Source organism: Homo sapiens, chromosome 12 (genome assembly GCF_000001405.40).
Source record: "Homo sapiens chromosome 12, GRCh38.p14 Primary Assembly".
Taxonomy (NCBI): domain Eukaryota; kingdom Metazoa; phylum Chordata; class Mammalia; order Primates; family Hominidae; genus Homo; species Homo sapiens.
In genome coordinates, this window is record NC_000012.12 from 52,565,322 (window position 1) to 52,585,352 (window position 20,031).

Genomic DNA, 20,031 nt, shown 5'->3' on the forward strand with positions numbered 1-20,031 from the left:
TCAGGAATGTTTCTGGTCCCAAGAATTTTGGATAAGGTATACCCAATCTGTATTGACTTTGGAAAATCTGAGATCTCCCACCCCCTACTAAATAAGCACATGAAAGCCTGTGTCCAAACTACTATGTTGCTGTGATTTAAATTCCCTCTCCAGGAGCCCATGTGTCCATCTTTCTGGTTATTTAATTAAACTCTCCTCCTCTTCCAGGAAGCCTTCCTTGCTTAGCCTCTCTATTCCAGTCCCTTACTAGCATTGCTGCCTTAGGCTGCCCTTCCCTGATTTACATGAGTGTGTATCTGTCTCTTCCAGCAGCCTGAGATTGCCTCCAGAGCAGCCTCATCTGAGTTGGCCTGCAGCTTCCCAGCAAGAGTCCTGCACGCTTGCTGGGGAGAAATGGAGGGTGGCACATCATCACTAGAGGGTGGAACATTTGGAAAGATTAACAGACTGACAGAAGCATACCTCTGACAACACTCAAGGACAACTTAATGAATATACAGCAGAAATTCAGAGTCTTTAATTCAAACAAAAGAGGAAATAGATGCTGCCATTCTTAGGAATATTTACACCCTGAGCCACGACATCTGGACTAGGCAGTAGCACTCAGCGACAGAAAAGCCAGCTCCACTCACTGAGCTCAGCTCATGGCACCAAAAATTGAGAGTCAGAAGCTATGTAGGACACAGCCCCAGAGAGACTGTGGAAGACAAATCACATACCCACAGTCCTGACAAAAGGCAATGTAATTACGCTGCCCTCATCAAAAAGAATGGTGACTTTGACAGCCCTTTTGTTAAAAAGGCAGTGACACACCACAGAAAAAGCATAGATCCTTGTGTCGGCCAGGCCTGACTCTGGCACATAGGTGGGTGACTGGGGCCAGTTCAGCAGCCTCTTGGGATCAGGCTCCCAGTCTGTTCCAAGGATGCTCATTGCATCTTCTTTGCAGGAATGGATGAGAACAGGAGGCAATATGTGTAGGGTGTCTGGCATCTAGTAGGTGCTTGACAAATGATGGTAGCTATTGCTGATAATGAAGGAGGTGGGTGGGTGACACAGGCTGGCAGAGAATCCCCAATACACCTTCACTTGGCTTTGTGGAGATGGGTGCAGCTGGTGGTCTACAGATGTACACGTGGTGTCCTAAATATTGGCGTCATCCTGCAAAGTTGTTTCTGATGGAGCAAGTAAAGGCTGTCTAACTTCTCACCACCTGCTTACAGGTCTCGTGTCACCCCACCATGCTGGCAGGGGATGTAAAACCTCTCAGACAGTAGCTAACTTGGCCTAAGCACAGAACAAACCAGCCCCTCCCCTGTCGTCTCCTGCTCCTTCCCTCTTTCTAGGGATGATCACAGCTTCCTTAGGGCCAAGAAGGTTATAATGGCTTGTGCCTCCAAAGCCTCCTGCCAGCCAAAGGCAGCGAGGAAAATGAGAAGTCGTTAGTCCACATGGGACCTAAGGAAACAGGGAAGGTGACTGTGTCAATCAGAGCTTGAAAGTAAAAGCTAAACCACGATGCAGACAGTTGAGTGTACTACAGACAGTTTTAAAACTCAGGGCCTGGGAACTTGGGTGTGGCAGACACCTTTGGGGGTGGCAAAGTCACCTCTTCTTCCAAGTGCTGAGGTGGGTGAGGCCATGGGTCTAGCGGGTGGCTTTCCTTGCTGGGATGCTGGCTGGGGTGCTCTTGCCCTGGGTGTCCTTGAGGTCTCCCCCTCGCGCCTCTGTGGTCTTGGTCTGCCCGCTCTGGGTGCTGCCAGAGCTGCCTGCCACAGCGCTGGCCCCAAGGTCAACACCCGCAGAGCTGGGGTGGTGGTAGCTGTAGCTGCTACTGCTGATGACAGCTGAGGAGGAGGGGCCAAGAGCAGGGGAGAGGAGCAGTGTCAATCAGCAGATAACAGCTATGGTAACGGCTGTCCCCAAGGGCTTCTCCACAACAACACCTCATTTAATCCGCAGAACCACCCTCAGTAGTCAAGAAGCACTACAGAGATGAACTGAGAGCCTATTACGGGCCGGACTTCGTGTGAGGTGAAGACCCCATCAGATAGATACAGTCCCTGCCCTCCTGGAAATGCTAGGAAAATCCATGTCCACCAACCCTTTCTCCAAATGACAACGTCCCAGGGGAGAAACAGGAAGGGAAAAGGGTGGGCATGACCTCAGTCACCATTTCACAGGATGAAAAGGGAGAACATTTCCTTTGAAGCCCAGAAACCTTCCCAAGACAGTAACAGAAGCTTCTTGGGAGGTGAGACAGTAAATGGAGGTGACATCACTTTGTCCCAGGGTCCCTGGCTTTCCCAACCCAAGGCATCTCTCAAGAATACTCACAGATGCTCACAGAGGATGGATTCTCACCAGACATCCTGTGAGACAGAAAGTTAGAGAAAGATAAAAACTCAGTGTCGAGATTCCACTAAACATCAATGGGCTCCTGCTTTTATACGTGCATCATTTAAACTCATCCTTATAACAACTTACGAAACTGACACTATCGCCTTCATCTTACAGATGAGAAAACAAGAGTCCTGGAGATACTAGATGATTTACCGAGACCACACCACTAGCATAGGATAAAGCCAATAATTAGCCCCTGCTGAAGAGCCAGTCATTAGCCCCAGGTCTGTCTGAGCCCCCGGTTCTCATCACAGCAGCACACGGCCATCTACGCTTCATGGCTCATGTCCAACAACCCCTTGCAGGAAGCTGCCTCTGAGTTCACGAAATCACCACATCTCTTGCTTGTATTGGCACTAACCATGTTGTTCTCCAGGTGGCCCCTCAGCCAGACAGGAGCCACACCCCAGTCCCTTCTCACACTTTCCCCTCCACCCCACCTACCTGCACTCCTCGCCCTCCAGCAGCTTGCGGTAGGTGGCAATCTCCATGTCCAGGGCCAGTTTCAGGCTCATGAGCTCCTGGTACTCGCGCAGCATCCGCGCCAGCTCCTCCTTGGCCTGGTGCAGGGCGCCCTCCAGCTCATCCAGCTTGGCCTGGGCATCCTTCAGGGCATTGTCTCCCCGCTGCTCAGCGTCAGCGATGGCCGTCTCCAGGCTGGCACGCTGAAGGGCAAAGAACAGAGAGACCATCAGAACAGAAAATTACATTTAGCTCATACCAGTTAAGTAGAACAATGCCCTCATTTTGCAGATGGGGCCCTAGGTGACAAGGAGTAAAAGCTGCAAAGCCAACACCAGAACTTTGTCTCTTCTATTTTCTATTGCAGAGGAGTATTCAAAGCTGTTATCACATGAAGCTGTGGAAGCAGTTGCATTTCAGGAGGTCAGGAAGAAATGTCGATGTTTGCAAAGTTAGATAGTGCCTGAGACCGGAGGCCACCAGTATCTACAGATTCAAAATACTACAGGTTCAGGAAAATCATGCCCGATCCCCTAGCAAGGCCAGCCCTGAGGATGAGACAGTATGCCACGGTCCCACTGTGATCAGATTCCTGCTGCAGGACCTCTCCCCATTGGGGATCCTTCTGATCTGTTAGCATCCAGATGAGTGTTTCTGGACTCCAGCACTCTGGGGAGAGTCTGTGTGAAGGCTCCCACATCTGGCCTTCCCTTAGAGCAGGAGGATAAGGCCCTAAATTATAGGCACAACCTCAGAAGCTGGACTCTGATGAACATCTGGGGGGCATTGCGATGCCTGTTGCTAACAGAGAGGGAGGAACTATGCTCATGGAATTTGTGAATCGGCCAAATGTAGAGTCGTAGAGTTGTCCCTGTGTTTGCCTGCAGAGCATGGAGGGTTGTGGGGGCACCAGAAGGAGAACAGGCTCAGATCTTTCCGCTGGTCAATTCTATCACTAGCAGAGCAGACCTGGTTCTCAGAGAGGTCACAGGAAGGATCCTCCAGCCTCCAATATCATCTCCCCACTGACGCAGTGTTTAAAATTTGCTGCTGTCAGGTAAGACAGGCCCCCCACCCCCACCCCCCCGCCCACTAACATGGAAGTAGTACCATGGCACAGGGCAAGGGAACCCAGGAGGGCTTCATCGACAGCTGTGTCCCTCAGTCAACAGACCATGCCCCACTCCGAGAGCAGGAACCTGGTGTGGCCAACAGAGGCGCCTGATGCATACCCTCTGCACCCCACACATGTTCCATGTCCAGTGGGAGGAGGAGACAGAGGGTCTGCCCTCAGAGGGGGCACCCAAAGGGGACATGGGGCAGGTTCATTGGACACAGAAAAAATCTGCAGAAGGGGAACCTGGGTTCTAATCCTAGCTCCATTCATTACCAGCTGGGGGCTCTGGGAAAGTCCCTTCCCCTTCCCAGCCCAGTTGCTTTATCTGCAAAATGAGGAGTCAGAGAAATAGGTTTGAGGCTCCTCCCAGTTCTGGGCGGGGTACCAGCTCTGATGGTAGGGTACCGAGGCAGGGTGGGAAAGGGAGACTGTGGGTGGCCGAGGGACCCCTAAGCCCAGCAGGGGATATTTGCTTGTTCCCAAAGGGCAGGCCCCATTTCCTCATCCCAGAGCCTGCTGTGGAGACCGGGAGTTCTTTGTGGGGCTGCTGCCCACCTGCTTCTTCACATTCCCGATCTCACACCGGATCCTCTGGATGAGCCGGTTCAGCTCCACCATCTCGCTCCTGGTGTGTTTCAGGTCGTCACCATGCCGACTGGCTGCCAGCTGCAGCTCCTGGATCTGGTTTCCCAGAGATAGGAAGTTGGTGATGAGACAAGGGCACTGGGGAAGGGTCCTGTAAATAAGCCACCCCTGCCACCCTGGCTGTCGGTGGGATTTAACGGAACTGAAGAGGAGTGCTGGGACAGGGTCCTGGGGGCCCAGGTAAGGGGTTTTCTCCCTGACAGCCCCAAACATAGTTCCATTACTCAGTTTACCCAAAGCATAGTTCCATTACTCAGAGCACTCCTCGCCTTCCATTTCCTTTTGAAAGTCTTCCCGTGGGGATCAGGAAAGAGCTACAGGCTTCTCCTTCTCTCACTCGCCCCCCACCAAATTCACCCATGGCTACACTCCCGCAAGTCTGTGATTCTCCCTCTGCCCTGTGGCAACATGCCCCCATTCCTATAAGTGTGTTTGTTTTACCACCTCACTTCTTTCACCTGCAACAGAGAGGAACAGGCAGTTCGTGGATGGAGGAAAGAAGTGAGGGATCCTCTCTGTTGCATATATTCAATCCATACCAGTTTCATGATTTATCTTTGATAACAAGCTCTGCTAAGAATTCCTTTTTTCCTTGAAGCCTTGGTTGGAACCTTTCTTTCATTCAGCATGCCCACAAAAGTATTCCTCACATTCACTGTGCAGGTGACCCCTCCCAGGAAGCGAAGGGCTGCTGTGGGAGGAGACCCATTCGGTGACCACCTTGGTCTGGTACAGGGCCTCGGCCTCGGCCTTGCTCTTCAGGGCGATCTCCTCATAATGCATGCGGACCTCAGCGATGATGCTGTCAAGGTCCAGGTCCCGGTTGTTGTCCATGGACAGGATGACAGAGGTCTCACTGGCGTGAGTCTGGATCTGAGCGATCTCCTGCATTGAGAGAGGAAGACAGATTCAGCAACCCCCTGGCTTCCCTCTTCTGCCCCATCAGTCTTCTGGGCCCATGGTCCCTGGCCCAATAGGCTGCTAGGATCCACGGGGACAAAGTAGGGGGAAGAAGTGCCCTCTGGGATGTGTCTGCAGAGCTGAGGGAGAGCAGCTAACAGCAGCAGGAACCCCTGCATATGGCAGATGCCCGCTGGCACATGCAGACGGGTGAATAATGCATTTTCCACAATTTCACAGAATCCAAGGCTCTGTGCTTTGTAAGACCTCACTGGGTTATCTTTTCCTGCCCGTGGGCAAGTCCACTATTGTATCAAGATCAATTTCCTCCTGTATGTATGGCCTCCAAGGACCAGCATCCTGCACTTCCATGGTCTCCTGGTGCAGGGTTTTGTACCTTTCTACCAAAACATCTTTCATTTTGTTGATCCTAAATCTCTCCTTTTGGTATCTCCCTGGAAGAGTCGGGAAGGAGGCAGGGTGAGGGTGGGGGGACAGGAGTGTCCTTACTGCATCATACAGACACTTGAGGAACTTGATTTCTTTGTCCAGTGAGTCCACTTTGGCCTGAAGCTCCACCTTGACTGCGTAGGCTGCATCTGCATCCTGCCAAGAGGCCCCAGAGTCATTGGGGGATGCAACCCTCATCCCACAGCTGCCCTGCCCAACTCCTGCCTCAAAGCCACCTGATTTTCTATTTTCTACCCACAAAGGAAAGCTCACTCAATATCAATTTCTTCTCAGGCTGCCTGAAGCTTTGGGAATAGGGAAAGGAGGATGGGGCAGCTCTGTTATGCCTGGAGAAAACAAAGCCCAGAGAGGTAGTAGGTTTCCTCAGGTCACACAGCAAGGTTGAGCTGGACCCGAGTTTCACAGTTCCCAGACCAGAATTCTGTCTGTCTCTGTCCATTTCCTGAGTGTGTGTCTTTCCTCTCCAACTCACTGGAGGCCAGGACTATGACTCCACCCTCACCAGGCACCAGCCCCCTCACCAGGCACCAGCCCCCTCCCCAGCCTCCTGGGCTGAAGTCCTGAGCAGAGTTGTTAAGATGGGGGTGCGAGAGACCCTAATAAGGAGGCTCCTCCCTCTCTTACCTTCTTAAGCACCACAAACTCATTCTCTGCTGTCGTGCGCCGGTTAATCTCCACTTCATATCTGCCAGCAGGGAGAGTAGATGGCCTTAGCCCCCTTAGCCAAGGAACTTTCTCTTCCTGCTGGCCAGGCAAATGTTTGGGATACAGGGTCCCTGCAGGGTCTCTGGGGTGAGCAGTAAGAGGCTAGTGACAGGAGTAAGATATCCCTGAGTTGCTTCACTTGTCTCCTAGTTTTTGCATGTTAGGAAAACACCCAGGTGCCTATTGGGCTCCCGACACCAGCAACTGAACATTTCAGTGGGTCAAGGAGCACAGGAACCGCTTCCTATCAACTAGGCAGGAAGTTATCATCAAAGAGGATAGGCCCTTCCCCCTAGCCAGAGAAAGGGATGTGAGCTCCTGACCCTGGTGCATACTCCCCCATCTCCTAAAAAATAATGGCACAGAGATCAGGTGAGCCCAGAGGCACGGGAAACATGGTCTGTGACCCTCGGGTGGAGCCTGCTCACCTCTTCTTATAGTCCTCCACCAGATCCCTCATGCTTCTCAGCTCCGAGTCCAGCCTCACCCTGTCCCCAGACAGTGTCTCCAGCTGCTTCCGCAGGTTGCTGATGTAGCCCTCAAGGATGGGCTCCAGGTTCTTCTTGCAGTTGTTCAGGTCCAGCTGCTGCAGCAGCTCCCACTTGGTTTCTAGAACCTGGTTCTGCTGCTCTAGGAAGCGTACCTGGAACCCAAATCAACAGACACCTGGAACCACAATGGGTGCAGTCATGCCCCCTGGACACACACCATTGACTCCCCAGGTTTGCCATAGATTGTTGTAGTCATTTTTGCTCATGTCTTGACTCTCCACCCTTGCCATTCCACACAAACTAGATCCTTTACAAGTGCTCATTTCCTAGCCTTCTGGACAAGGCATCACTGAGAACTCACTCAAGGAGTTTCCACAGCTTTCTTCTATTGCTCGGCCCTGGTCCCAGGAGATGTCCTTCCTTATGTCTCAACTAAGTGTCTCTTCCTGTACCATGAGCCCTTCCCTCTGAACACTGCTGGATTCTATTAGCCTTTCATGTTCTTGGAAGATCCAGCTGTCCTCAAGAAACTCATCACTTTTTTGTCAAGGAAGGGCTGCTCTTTACCCAGCTTCCCATCCTTCCCTGCAAAATCGCCAAAGAAGCCGATATATTCATGTATTCCTTTGTCCTCCGTGGCTCACAGACCTACTCTCCTTCCCTAATGGTGAGGAAGCCCTTCCTGAGGCCCAGCTGCACCTTTCCAGCCACAGTGTGCAGTCCATTCCCAGGCAGCAGGAAAACTGCTCAGGCCTCAGGGTGCGGCCTCATCCTCCTCCTATGAGACCCACCTTGTCAATGAAGGAGGCGAACTTGTCGTTCAGCACCTTGATCTGTTCCCGCTCCTGGGCGCGCACCTTCTGGATCTCAGGGTCCAGCTCCACGTTGAGGGGGGCCAAGAGGCTCTTGTTGACAGTGACCTGGTGGATGCCCCCAGGTGGGCACACAGACAAACATGCAGGCCCCAGGGCCACACTGCCAAACATACTGCCAGCAAAGCCACTGGCCCGGCCCCCTCCATACCCAGAGCCAGGCCTGAAGCCGTAACCTCCAGCCCGAACGCCGCCACCAGCCACATTGAAAGAAATACGCCGATTCCCTCCAAGGCTATAGAGGCTCCGACTGCCAAAGCCAGCGCCAGCCCCTCTGCCAGCTGCACAGTAAGAAGCCAGGCTACCCACAGCCTTCCTTGGCACCACTGCCGAATGCACACTGAAGTTGCCCTTGTCACCACTGGACTTGATGTTCAGTTGCCGACTCATGGTGGGAAAGGTTGAGTTGACAGAGCTGGAGAAAAGCAGTCTCCAAGGGGTAGAGAACACACTGATGGGGCACCCAGAGTGCTGCCTCCTTTTATCCCTGTTGAGCCCAGGACACCGGAAAAGGGCGTCTCTCCACTATCTCCTTTCCCCTGCTGATGGGCCAGGGGCCATGGGCAATTTGTAGAACAGAGATCTCCAAGCCCTTTGCAGCAACAAAGCTCTTCTGATAGCAAGTGGAATATGCTGCCCTTGCAGAGTGGAGTGGTCTAATTTGGAGTTTATCTGTGCTCCCTAATTAAGGACCTGAAGAGTTATCCCCTGAAGAGATCTCCTAGCTTTATTTTTCCAGTGCTACCTCCTTCTTGCTTAACCATCAGCAAGGAGCAGGGGAAATGCCTGGCTTTCCCCAGAGTAGACTCACCTGAAAAACCCCAGGTTTCTTCCCAAAAGAAACCATCTCTCTATTATAGGGTCTTGTGTGGAAGCTGGAATTTTTACCTCAGGGAAAAGAAGACATGGAAAGATGATTCTTCTTGGAAAGATGTCCTCAAAGATCTGGATCTGGGTAAGAAGCTCCAGGGTCCGTCCTTGGGCCATGCTAAGGACCACAGCTGTCTAGCAGTGAAGTGGACCCCAGGAAGGAAGAGGAATGACTCTGCAGCATCTGCATGCCCCCCTAGCAGGGATATTGTCTAGGGCCTTCTGTGTTGGGCAGGGCCTGGGTGGTGGTGACCTTGACATTGCCTTACAACCATGAGAACCTTTCCAGTCAGCTGCATTTCCTCCAGTTGGATTTTCTCTCCTGGATAAGATTATTTGTCCTACTCTAGGAAGTCAGGCAGGAGCTGGGATATTAGCCCCTGCACTCCCTGGGGAAACACCCTATGGCTGAAGTCACCAAGGAACAGGACCCCCTGAGTTTCACTCCCAGGTTCAGGGTGGGCTGTTCTGCCAGTTTCCTGGCAACTTCAGGGAGCACTCAATTTTCAAACAGGAAGTATCACTGCTTTATAGCTCAGGTAGTGTGGGTACAGTGCAATGTTAAAAAATTATTTCAGGGCTGGGCATGGTGGCTCACACCTGTAATCCCAGCACTTTGGGAGGCCAAGGAGGGCAGATTGCCTGAGGTCAGGAGTTTGAGTCCAGCCTGGCTAACATGGTGAAACCCCGCCTCTACTAAAAATACAAAAATCAGCCGAGCGCAGTGGTGCATGCCTGTAGTCGCAGCTACTCAAAAGACTGAAGTAGAAGAATCACTTGAACCTGGGAGGCAGAGGTTGCAGTGAGCCTAGATTGTGCCACTGCACTCCAGCCTGGGCAACAGAGCAAGACTCTGTCTCCAAAAAACAAAAAAAATTATTTCAAAGCTAGGTATCTGGCAGCTGCCCTCATGCAAGACTCTGACCACTTCCTATAACTAAACTGAGAACACTTGGCTTGTTTGGATCCAGCCGAGGGCAGAAGACAACTGCTCCCACTGCTGGGGAGGGAAAAGGAGAAGCTGACCTGGGCAGGGAGCGTGGAGCTTAGGCCTGGAAGCTGCCCCGGAAGAATTTCCCCTTCACAGGGTGTTTTCCTCTCAGCCCCTGAGGTAACGGTGGAAGGTCCTTCCCCAGGGACCCTGTCTCGGGGGGCTTTCCCGGCAGGGCCTAGCCCTACAGCACAGGAGCATGTAATCGAAGGGGTTGCTTGTGGTTTTCTAAGTCAGGTTGCAAGGGCAGCAGCAGGGGTGCCGCCAGATGCTGGGTTTGCCGCCCTCCTGTGCTGGAGTGTGCAAGACAAAAAATGGCGTGAGTTCCTTAACCTGGGGGTGACTGTCCTAGGGCCCCAGCCACCAAGAAGCCTGCAGACCAATGAGAGGAATCTACACAAAGAACTTAAAGTAGAGCCAAAGCTCTGGAATGACAGAAAAGCATTATGAACCACGAATCAGAGGTGCACTGAGGAATGGCTCATCTTGATTAGGGTTTTTGGGGATCTCCAGAAGCCAGGCTTATATTCCCAACAACGCCCACTACAGGTGCTGGCTCAGAGTAGTGGCTCAGAGGTAGTGGGGCTGGAAGTATTCCTTATGGCAGTAGTAGCAATAGTGGTAGTAACATCATTGTATAATAGTGATGGTAGTAACAGAAAGTGTTAACACTTATTCTTCACTTCACATGTGCCAGGCATGGGATGTCTACATGGGATGTCTCACTTAACCCTCTTTAACTAACTTCATTTACAGTTGAAGAAACAGAGGAACTTACCCATCTCACTCAACTAGTAAGTCAGAGCTGGGCCGGAATTCAAGTGCGTCTGGTTTCAAAGTGCATGTTCCTGACCATCGTGTTATGTGATAGAGATGGAAGTTAGTGGCAAAGATGCAAAGACATTGTGGTACATGTGGCAGGCATGGCAGCTGTGGGCTGGGGACCTTGTGCTTGTGTTTCTGTTGTTTTTGATTCAAGTGTGACATGAGGAGAAGGGGAGGTTGTTGCTGAACTAGGGGCTTGCAAAGGGTAGCTGCTCAAGATAAGACATCACTCTAGGTTCAGAGAGAAAATCAGCCACAGCAAGGATGGGCAGGGGGAAGGAAGAGACTTGCTTTCATGAGCGGCTGTTTTATTCTAGAATCACCAGCAGCTGGCCCTTCATTGCCCGGCTCCGAGGGGAAATAATCATAGTTCTGGCTAGCTGAGTCTTTGCGCCACCACTGCCTGGCTGACTATGAGCCCCAATCTGATAGGAACTTCAACGAAAAGGCATTTACAAAGCAGAAAAGGCATGAGGCTAGATCTTTGAGGCTGGAGAAGACTTAGGGTAAACAAAAGGCAGATATCCAGGTGCCCAGGGAAATGCAGCAGAATGAATGGGGTCCATCCACACTCAGAAGTGATGGGCTGGGGAGGGCCAGGACTAAGGCTAGGGGTCCTGGCACCCTTTGTATTCATTACAAAGGGTGCCCCTGTGGGCTGGGCCCTGTGCTGGAGGCTGGCCAGTAAGGGTTGCTGACAGCGGTGGTAATGATGGTGGCAGAGTGGCTGTGACGGAGAAGGAAAAGGTAGAGGCAGAGTAGAATTTCCTGACAACAGTGTTGTGATTGTGGCCACACAGAAGCAATCCTCCTAATTGGTTCCTAGGGAGCTTAATTGCAGGGGAATTGCCTTTGGCCTATGCAGTCAGATCCCTAGAGTTCCAGCCTTCACTGTTTCGGATACCCTTTAATTAGTAATCACACACCACGCCCTGGTCTTTGAGTTCATTGGACTAATGAGTGTCCCAAGTCCTGAAGAGATTATTTCATTAAATGCATATAAAACTGGGCATCTACTGTGTGTTCAGCTCTATGCTAGACAGGGGGAGATGTCTGAGACACTCTCTTTCTCTTTTAGGAAGTTAATTGAACTGGAGGACAAACAATATAAACATACAAAAGTTGTTTTGCTGTTGTTATTGCTGTAGTTTTAATTCTACATGCCTATATTGGATTATGTGCTTGAACAAGTAACTCAGACAAGCTGTTCATTGAAATTCTGATCTAAAAAAAAAAGAATTTAAAAAGTACATGAAAATCTACTTTTTGCTTACCCTAAATCTTCTCCATCCTTGAATTAAAAAGAAATGGAAAAATAGAATAAAAGAGAGGTTGGGCTCTCTGAGGTAGGGGTTGCTAACTGGAAGGTCGGCCAGATTGGGCAGGTGCATGGGGCATCCCTGAGACACCGAGAGGCCCAGGCGGATTATAAAGGAAGGCTCGACTTGGGAAGCAGAGATGGAGGCAGAGATGGCGGCGCAGGCCTAGACAGTTCCCTTCTCCCTGTAGACAGTGTGGCATCATGCGAGGGTCCTGAGGGGAAGCAGTTTCACAGGGCCAATGCTTTCCGTTAAGGAATAGGCTCTGTGTTGCAAGAGGAGGGCTGTGGAAGACACAGGTACCCCAGGGAACCCAAGGGAGCTGAGTCAATTGGGCCATAATCTCTCATCATCTTCCTGGAGGATAAGAATCCCCTTCTGCAGAGCACCTCACCAGAGGGAAATAAAAAGCAGCCCCGTGAAAAATCCCAATGGCCGTAACCATCATGTCTGTAGTTTGAAGATGAATAGTGAATGTCATTTTTCTCTAGCCCTTTGGCCTTTGACTGCTCCTGGGCACAGAACAACAGTTGAAGGACCCAAATTCTGTAGATCAAGGTCATTAAAGAAAAGAGAAAGAAGGCCAGGCATGGTGGCTCACACCTGTAATCCCAGCACTTTGGGTGGCCGAGGTGGGCAGATCACTTGAGGCCAGGAATTCCAGACCAGCCTGGCCAACATGGTGAAACCCCATCTCTAATAAAAATACAAAAATTAGCTGGGAGTGGTGGCACTGCCTGTAATCCCAGCTACTTGGGAGGCTGAGGCAGGAGAATCGTGTGAACCCAGGAGGCAGCGGTTGCAGTGAGCTGAGGTTGTGCCATTGCACTCCAGCCTGGGGCACAAGAGCGAAGCTCCATCTCAAAAAAAAAAAAAAAAAAAAAAAAGAGAGAGAAAGAAAAAAAGAAGCTTGAAGGATTCTTGAGCTAACTTTGTGGGGACAAGACCTGGGGACAAACCACAGCACCTTAGCACTGGAAAGGACCTGAAACTGAGTTCTCTGATTTCCCTTTGAAAATAAGCTAAGTGCAGAAACCTAATACCCTCTGCCTGTCTGAACCGGTTTGAAAGGAGCCTGTTTTTCCATGCTAGTCCAAAGTTAGCTAGCCCAGACAATAGAGTTCATCTGCTTTTTCCCCATGTGTCTCCCAAAACCCTTCACTTTCCTGACATTAAATTTTCTGTGCCAGGAGTCCGATGACAGATGGGATATGCACCAGAGACATGGGCAGAACCCACTGCTGCAATCCCAGGCTGTAGACATGGCTTGGGGCCTAGTTGGAGTGGGTGTGGAGAGTGAAGCAGAAAGCTCTGTGTTGGTGAGTGGGGGAAGAGGAAACTCTAGGCACAGAGGAATAGGAAAAGCGCCCCAGGCAAGATGATAGGGATTATCTAGATACTATTTTGTAGAGTACTCAACTATCCCAGTTTTCCTAGGGCTGAGAGGTTTTCCAGAATGTCCGACTTTCAGTGCTACAGAAGTTCTGGAAAGTTCTGCACTGTTCTGGAAAAAACTGGACCCTTGAAAACCAGAACGTCATTCACCATATTGGAGAGCTCTGAGTACCCGACTCTCCAGTGGACCCTAAGGATCACTGAAGTCACGTCTACCAAGCTTGTAAAACTTAAACACTCAAGCAATCCCTGGTCTGTCTCCATCCCTACTAGACCCCCTTTTCCCCTCACACACACTCTTGTTAAATGAATTCCTCAGATTATGAGAAGAAAGCAGGTGGCTGGATGGCATCAATTTTTTTTTAATTCCAATCCCTCTCACTCAATGCCTATTCTGCTACAGGCACTGTGCTGAGTGAAATCCCAGACAGGCAGTCAGCATGGTCAAAATTCCCATTTCTTGGTGTCATATTAGTGTAGAGCATATTGTGCAGTAAGCCTCTATTTATTAAACACTTAGCAGAGGATGTTTAGTGACCTGAAACCTGGCAGTTTCCTTATCACTGCTAGTCTTATGGAACTTTCTACCTGCACCTCTCGGGGTAAACGTGGGGGAGCTGCATCTCTGCAGACACCCTTCTCTGAGTCTAGGACCTTCCCCACGTCTTCCCAGCATGGGTGTCTCCCTCCTCTCTGCTGCAGCCCAGCTCAGGAGGGGCATGCTCCACCCTTCCCACCTGGAGAGAGAAACATCAGAGCAGTTTAACCAAGTGGTTGCAGGGCCATATGGTGCCTTTATGCCAATCATGAGAAAAAGGCACCCCTTCCTCTGGGCAGACGCAGCCCTTTCCCAGGGTGCATGGCTGGATTTCAGCCTCTACTTCCCCCGCACTGAGACTTAGTGCTCAGCACAACCTGCACGCCCCTCCAGGGCTGCCCTGGTAGCTTGCCTAAGTCTTGGGGATGGGCTCACGTTCCACAGATGAGTTGGAGCCTCTGGTCAGAGCTGTCCTCCTGCACAAAGGGTCATGGGAGCCTCCTGGCTTCCCCGAGTACTTGCCTCCTTCTCCAGGGCTGCCTGAGATCTGTCTGCCAGTTCCCAGGGTCTTTCCTCTCTGATCCCTGGGGAAAAGTGGTGGTCTCCCAGCTCCCTCATCACTGGAACCCCCAAGGGCTTGTCCACCAGGAACTCTGCCCCGCCTAGCTTTTCTCTGGCTTGGGGATCCGCGGACTACTGTTCATTGTTCCAGCCTGAGTATCCTTTTGTCTTCAGCACCTCCTGGATTGTCTCTCCAAGCTCCTCCATTCTTGGTTCTCTCCCTGCTCGGGCTCCTAAGGTTTTTATGATGGAACAGGCCCCTAGCCACTTACTGTAGATCAAACACTCTTTAGTTCTCTTTCTCTCCTCTTTTTTTTTTTTTTTTTAAAGAAAAGCTCTTTGAACTCTTTACGACTCTACCCACCACCTACCTAGTCATCACAGGGAACTTTTCTCAGCTCCAGTGCACATAGGTATGTGAAGACAAGCACTGTCTTGCCCTGGGAAGGACACATTTCTTCCATTTGTTCATTTTAAAATTCCACTAGGCCCCCATCTGGGCACTATTTAATCCATCTCCTTACCTCAGACCCCCTCCACCTCCCCTCCAGCCACTTCAGGAAGAAATTTATATTGTCTGACACCCCAACCCCCTTTATTACAGGATTCATTTTTGAAAGACAACAGGGAGGCTGGGGGAAATGCCTTAATCTTTTGATCTTCACTGTGAAGTTTGATGCTTGATCCACCTCTTCCTCTGCCCATTTGCAAAGCAAACAAGCAGGCTGTGCATTGGGCTGTAATTAAGCCACATCATCACTAATGACATGCTCTCTATCTCCCATCATCAGAGCATCATACAATCCATCCAAACAGGAAGGAGAAGCCCAGCCCTGCACCGTCCCTGGGGAGTGCTGGAGTGGTGGGTCAGGCCTGGGGTGGCAACTGCCTCCAGTGTGGAAGGAATGACCAGCTTCCCTCCCTGGGCCCACATCATATCTGAGCCTGCTGGGCCCTGGGGAAAGGTGTTAAGAAGGGACAGGAGAAGGGAAGAGATACCAGGCAGGGCAGAAGCACTAGGGGCCTGGACCACCATAGGCAATGTGGAAATTGGGAGGAAGAAACATAAAAGTAGCACATCAAGAAGAAATAGAAGAAGTGGAGACTTTAGAGAAAGGAGCTAGGGAAGGCTGGGTCAATGAGGAGGGGAAGTTGCTGCTGAGGGAAGGGCTAAAAACAGAGAGAATGGAGGATGAACCCCGAGGCTGGGGCAGGGGGCTGAAATGAGCCTTTCAGAGCTCCATGGGAGACACATCCATGCAGCCCCACCCTGCGGGTGGAAGGGATGGTTGGCCTGCTGGATACAGGGAACCTCTCACTGCTGTGGGGTGAGGGACCCTCAGCACCACCCCACCGATGCAGACCTGCCATGGAATTAGAGGCTTGGGTCCGTGGGGCCTAGGGCAGGCTTGACGCTGGCACCTGAGCCTCGGGGTCAGAGAGTGAGCTCCTCCATCTGGAGCCAAGACCACAGCCAGCCCCTTTGGAAAGTTCTATCCCCCTCTCCTACAGAAAAGGAGGCAGGAGATGTTGACACCAGGAGACCAAGTCTCCATCTTCCCATTGTCATGGGCCCCCGCTGAGGCAAGTGGTGTCTTATGCAGGGCTATCAGGTTGGACACACAGCTGTGGGTTCAGGAGGCAGGTTATGAAATAAGCCAGGAGTCTGCAGATCCAAGAGTTGGGGAGAATGACTCACATCATGGGGAAACCCGTCTGGAAGTGAGAACCGGTGAAAGCAGGTCCTGGGTCCTGGTGGCTCCTATTTCAGGGAAGAGGAACAGGGGCAGCGTGGAGCAAGGGTGGGGGCTGCATGTTTTAACAGGGGGCCAAGGAGAAGGCTCAGAGGAACCAGCAGCCCTTCCAGGAAGAGAGAACCTTCTGGAAATGGATGTGGGCTGGGAGGCTGGAGGAGAATGTAATGGGACTGGAACGGAGCCAGAAGCTAGCCTGGCAGGTGTGCCTCAGGTTCGACGAGGCTTGCTTTGCACTAGTCACTGTGCTAAGCTTTTTGCACATTTTAACTCATTTCATCCTCACACCAACCTGTCAGGTAAATACTCTTGTTTTTCCCACATTACAAGTGAGGAAAGAGAAATTGAGCAGAGAAACTGAGTTGCCCACATTGCAGTTATAACTGGGAAAAGAAACAAATCAACAAAAGGATTCAGATCCACACCTGGCCGACTGCAAAATGTGTGTACCTCCACACTGGACTTCTAAGGTCCCTTTCAGTCCTATATCCACCACGCTATGGTTCAGTTCCTGAGCTCGGAGCAGCTTTAATCTAGAACTTGAGCTGCATCTGGAGTTCCAGGAAGAAGAATCTGGAATCTCTCCTGGAGATGGACGAATTGGAAGCAAGAAGGAGGGATTTCGAGGATAAGCCCTCTAAGAGGGGCCTGCATCCAAACGGGGATGCAGCGTGGACGACTTACCGGGGAGGAGGGATGGACAAGCCAATGGCAGCTGGTTTGCAGGAGAGGAGGGACCCTCAACATCTCTGGTGCTCCTGGAAGCTTTGCTAAATGTGAATGTAAGAACTGAGGGGCAGTGCAGAACAATTGTCCTTTGTGTAGTTGCCACTCTATAGGTGGCAGAAGTGGCAGAGCCCCTGAGATGGAGATTGGAAACAGCTGGCAAAGGGCGGCTCAAACCCCAGAGCAGCTGCCAAATGGGACCTAAGCAGTCTTTAACAAGCTCCCTGTCTCCAACAATTCACATCCCTGTTACCGCCTCCTCCAGGAAGCCTTTCCAGATTGTGTTCCTCTCTCAGGCCTTTCTTCCTATGGAGCCCCCTGGCTGTGCCTTGCCAGTGCCTCCATGCCTGGCTCATCTACTGCCTGAGAAAGAAAGAGTTCTCAGAGGAGGGAGGGGTTTGCACACTGTGCAGGCAGGGCTTAGGAGAGGGGGTCTCAGCTGAGTCATGGGGGCCCTCACTCCAAGGACCTCTGGATCAGCACCAAGATTTTCAGGAAAAGCTGTCTGAAGGCCTCAGGTTCTCTAATAAGAGGTGTGGAGGTTCAGGCAGCAGGCAGCATCAGCCCCTGCCCCCTCCTCCTTCCTGTAAGAGGAGAGGCCAGAGAGGAGAGGAAGAGGAGACAGGAGTCAGACCCAGGCAACACAGAGGCTGGGGCCAGCCTGGGCATGCCAGGGAGTGAAACAGCATCCCCTCCCACTGGCAGCTCCGCGAGGGGCGCAGAGCCTGTCTAGGGTCATCCCACGCCCTCTCTGCTGTAGGGAAGTCTTTCCTCCAGAGTCACAGGGGTAGAAAGTGCAGTATCCAGGACCAATGGCAGAGGGCAGTGTGTGCACAAAATAGAGGCACCGAGGGTTTTTCCCCTGCTTGGAAATGAACAGCCAGTGAACAGATAGGAATGTATTTTAGTGAATGGACCCAGTGCCCTCCACCTTTCACTTAGCCCATCTCGGCCAGGTCTCTGGGCAAAGTCCTGCTGTTGGTCCACACCTCTCAGACATGAACCAGCCCACAGCCAGCAAACACAGACGTATGCTTTAAAAATACTAGTAATAACAGTGAGCATCTACAGGTGTCAGACTGTGTTCCAGGCACTGTTTTACTCCCCTTATCTCTTTTCCTATTCTCTGATCTCCTCTAAGGTGAGTTCTTTGAAAGGTAAGGAGGTGTCGAAGCCAGGAGCATAGACTCCAGAATCAGACTGGAATTCAGATCCTCCCATTTACTAACCAGGTGACATTTGGTTAGTTACTTAACTCCTCTGAGCTTCAATATCCTCACAAGTTAAATGGACATTATAATAATCGCATCTTATAAAAATAATACATGTCAGATTGTTGGGAGAATTAATTGAGTTACCAGCCATAAAGTGCTTACCAGAATGAGTGCTGAGAACAGTTTCTGGCAACAGAAAGCACTTCATAATGGCCAGCTTGTATTTATCTTCTTTTACAAGGGCAGGATCTTGCACTAGGCCACTACTGGCAATTAGAAGAGCTAGGATTCAAAGCTAGGTATATGACTCTTCTGCCACTATGCTAGGCCCAAGGGGACCATTTATCTGACAGTCCTGGCTTTGCCAGTTGTCCAAGGATCCACCTTAGTATTTATTTAGATCAAAAGTGTCCCAGTTTGAGTGACTGCCTGCACACAAATGCATATAAGACACAAATTTATTAACACAAATATGTCATATCACTTGCATACCAGACAATTGAGACATGGGTATGTTGTGTGTATATCCAGCTCTTTTTCCCAGGGAAGGTGGGCTAAACTAAGGCATGCATTCCCATGGTAAAAGTGCTGACTGCAAGCCGGACCCTGGAACAAGGGGATGTAGGGCATGGAGTGAGGGACAGACATGTGAGCAGCTGATATGACACCAGAAAAATAGAGTGCCGGCTTTAACACAGGCTCAGGACAGGGCTGTGAGTGTACAAGCCACTGGTCCAGCCCCGGCTGCTCACCAGTGGTGTGAACATGGACAGGTCACTCAGCCATCTGGGACTCGGTTTGCCTGCCTGTAGAATGGGGGTGTGGGGTAGGGAGGTGTTGGGCCACAGCTGTATTGATCCTTCTCATGTAATGCTTGAAGATGGATGGGTCCACCTGGAGGGACCAGGCACCACAGAAATGTGGGTGGTGGAGTCTCAGCCAGGCCACACAGGTGCGCAGGCTGTCCATCACGGGTAATGGACATCTGAGGTTGAGAAAATGATATGTGCAAAGGCCCTCAGGTGTGAAAAGTCTGGCCTGCATGGGGAAAGGCTGGAGAATAAGGTGGGAAACGACACGGGGGAGACAGGATCTCGGGCACTCTGAATGCCATCCTCAAACGAGGTTTGCACTTGAAAGATGGTCTCGCATTAAGGGTTTTTTTCAAATCAACTGTGCTAACTGACTCTGAGAAACAAACATTCTTGCAGAAACACACACATACACACACAAACATACACACACATACACATACACACACACGCAGAGCTAAAAGAGCATCCTTGAATCTCTCAGCTTCTTACTCCACTGAATTTTTCTTCATAGTAGTTAACACTGCTTGACTTCATATTATATATTGCTTTGGTAGGTGCATATTTTCACTCTCCCTCTATGGGGCCAGTGTCTGTGCCTATTTTGTTTATTCTGGTATTCCCAGTGCCTGAGCAATGCCTAGCTCACTAAATATTTGTTAATTGAGCACTATTTCATATACACCTTAGATAGAGAGGCTACAAGCATATATACACACAGGCCTTACATGTTAGGGTGAAAAGGAAGTTGGTTAAAAGAAGAGGAAGACAGGGCCATTGTGTGGGAGCAGGACTGGGGAGTGAGTGGTGGGTGGTGGAGAGTGAGACAGTGGGAGAATGAAGGGAAGACCACTCGCTACACAGACAGTGAGTGTGCTCAACCATGGGTGCTTTGAGAACCAGAGCAGGAAGCCATGAGGAAGCTCTAACATCTGTATCTATCATGGGGTAATGATGTCT

The 20,031-nt window shown here is 50.9% G+C and overlaps 1 protein-coding gene across 1 annotated transcript, besides 3 other annotated features; it reads right to left on the bottom strand.

Annotated features, from left to right (window-relative positions):
• KRT74 (keratin 74) lies at positions 461 to 8,522 on the bottom strand. Its single transcript, NM_175053.4, has 9 exons — positions 7,986 to 8,522; positions 7,132 to 7,346; positions 6,623 to 6,683; positions 6,038 to 6,133; positions 5,348 to 5,512; positions 4,538 to 4,663; positions 2,848 to 3,068; positions 2,338 to 2,372; positions 461 to 1,847 (listed from the first exon to the last, which is right to left on the bottom strand). The coding sequence occupies exons 1-9, from the start codon at positions 8,454 to 8,456 to the stop codon at positions 1,648 to 1,650; spliced, it is 1,590 nt and encodes a 529-aa protein (NP_778223.2). The 5' UTR covers positions 8,457 to 8,522; the 3' UTR covers positions 461 to 1,647.
• Positions 6,947 to 7,116: an enhancer, noted in NCBI's record as "experimental_29072 CRE fragment used in MPRA reporter constructs". NCBI's record gives its function as "activates a minimal promoter by MPRAs in K562 erythroleukemia cells, with activity observed for both the introgressed and non-introgressed 12:52966137 variant alleles {active_cell/tissue: K562}" and the evidence as "EXISTENCE:reporter gene assay evidence [ECO:0000049][PMID:34662402]".
• Positions 19,717 to 19,886: an enhancer, noted in NCBI's record as "experimental_29100 CRE fragment used in MPRA reporter constructs". NCBI's record gives its function as "activates a minimal promoter by MPRAs in K562 erythroleukemia cells, with activity observed for the introgressed 12:52978907 or rs614984 variant allele {active_cell/tissue: K562}" and the evidence as "EXISTENCE:reporter gene assay evidence [ECO:0000049][PMID:34662402]".
• Position 19,802: a transcriptional cis regulatory region, noted in NCBI's record as "Neanderthal adaptively introgressed variant 12:52978907 (GRCh37/hg19 assembly coordinates) or rs614984 in the experimental_29100 CRE". NCBI's record gives its function as "modulates activity of the experimental_29100 enhancer by MPRAs in K562 erythroleukemia cells {active_cell/tissue: K562}" and the evidence as "EXISTENCE:reporter gene assay evidence [ECO:0000049][PMID:34662402]".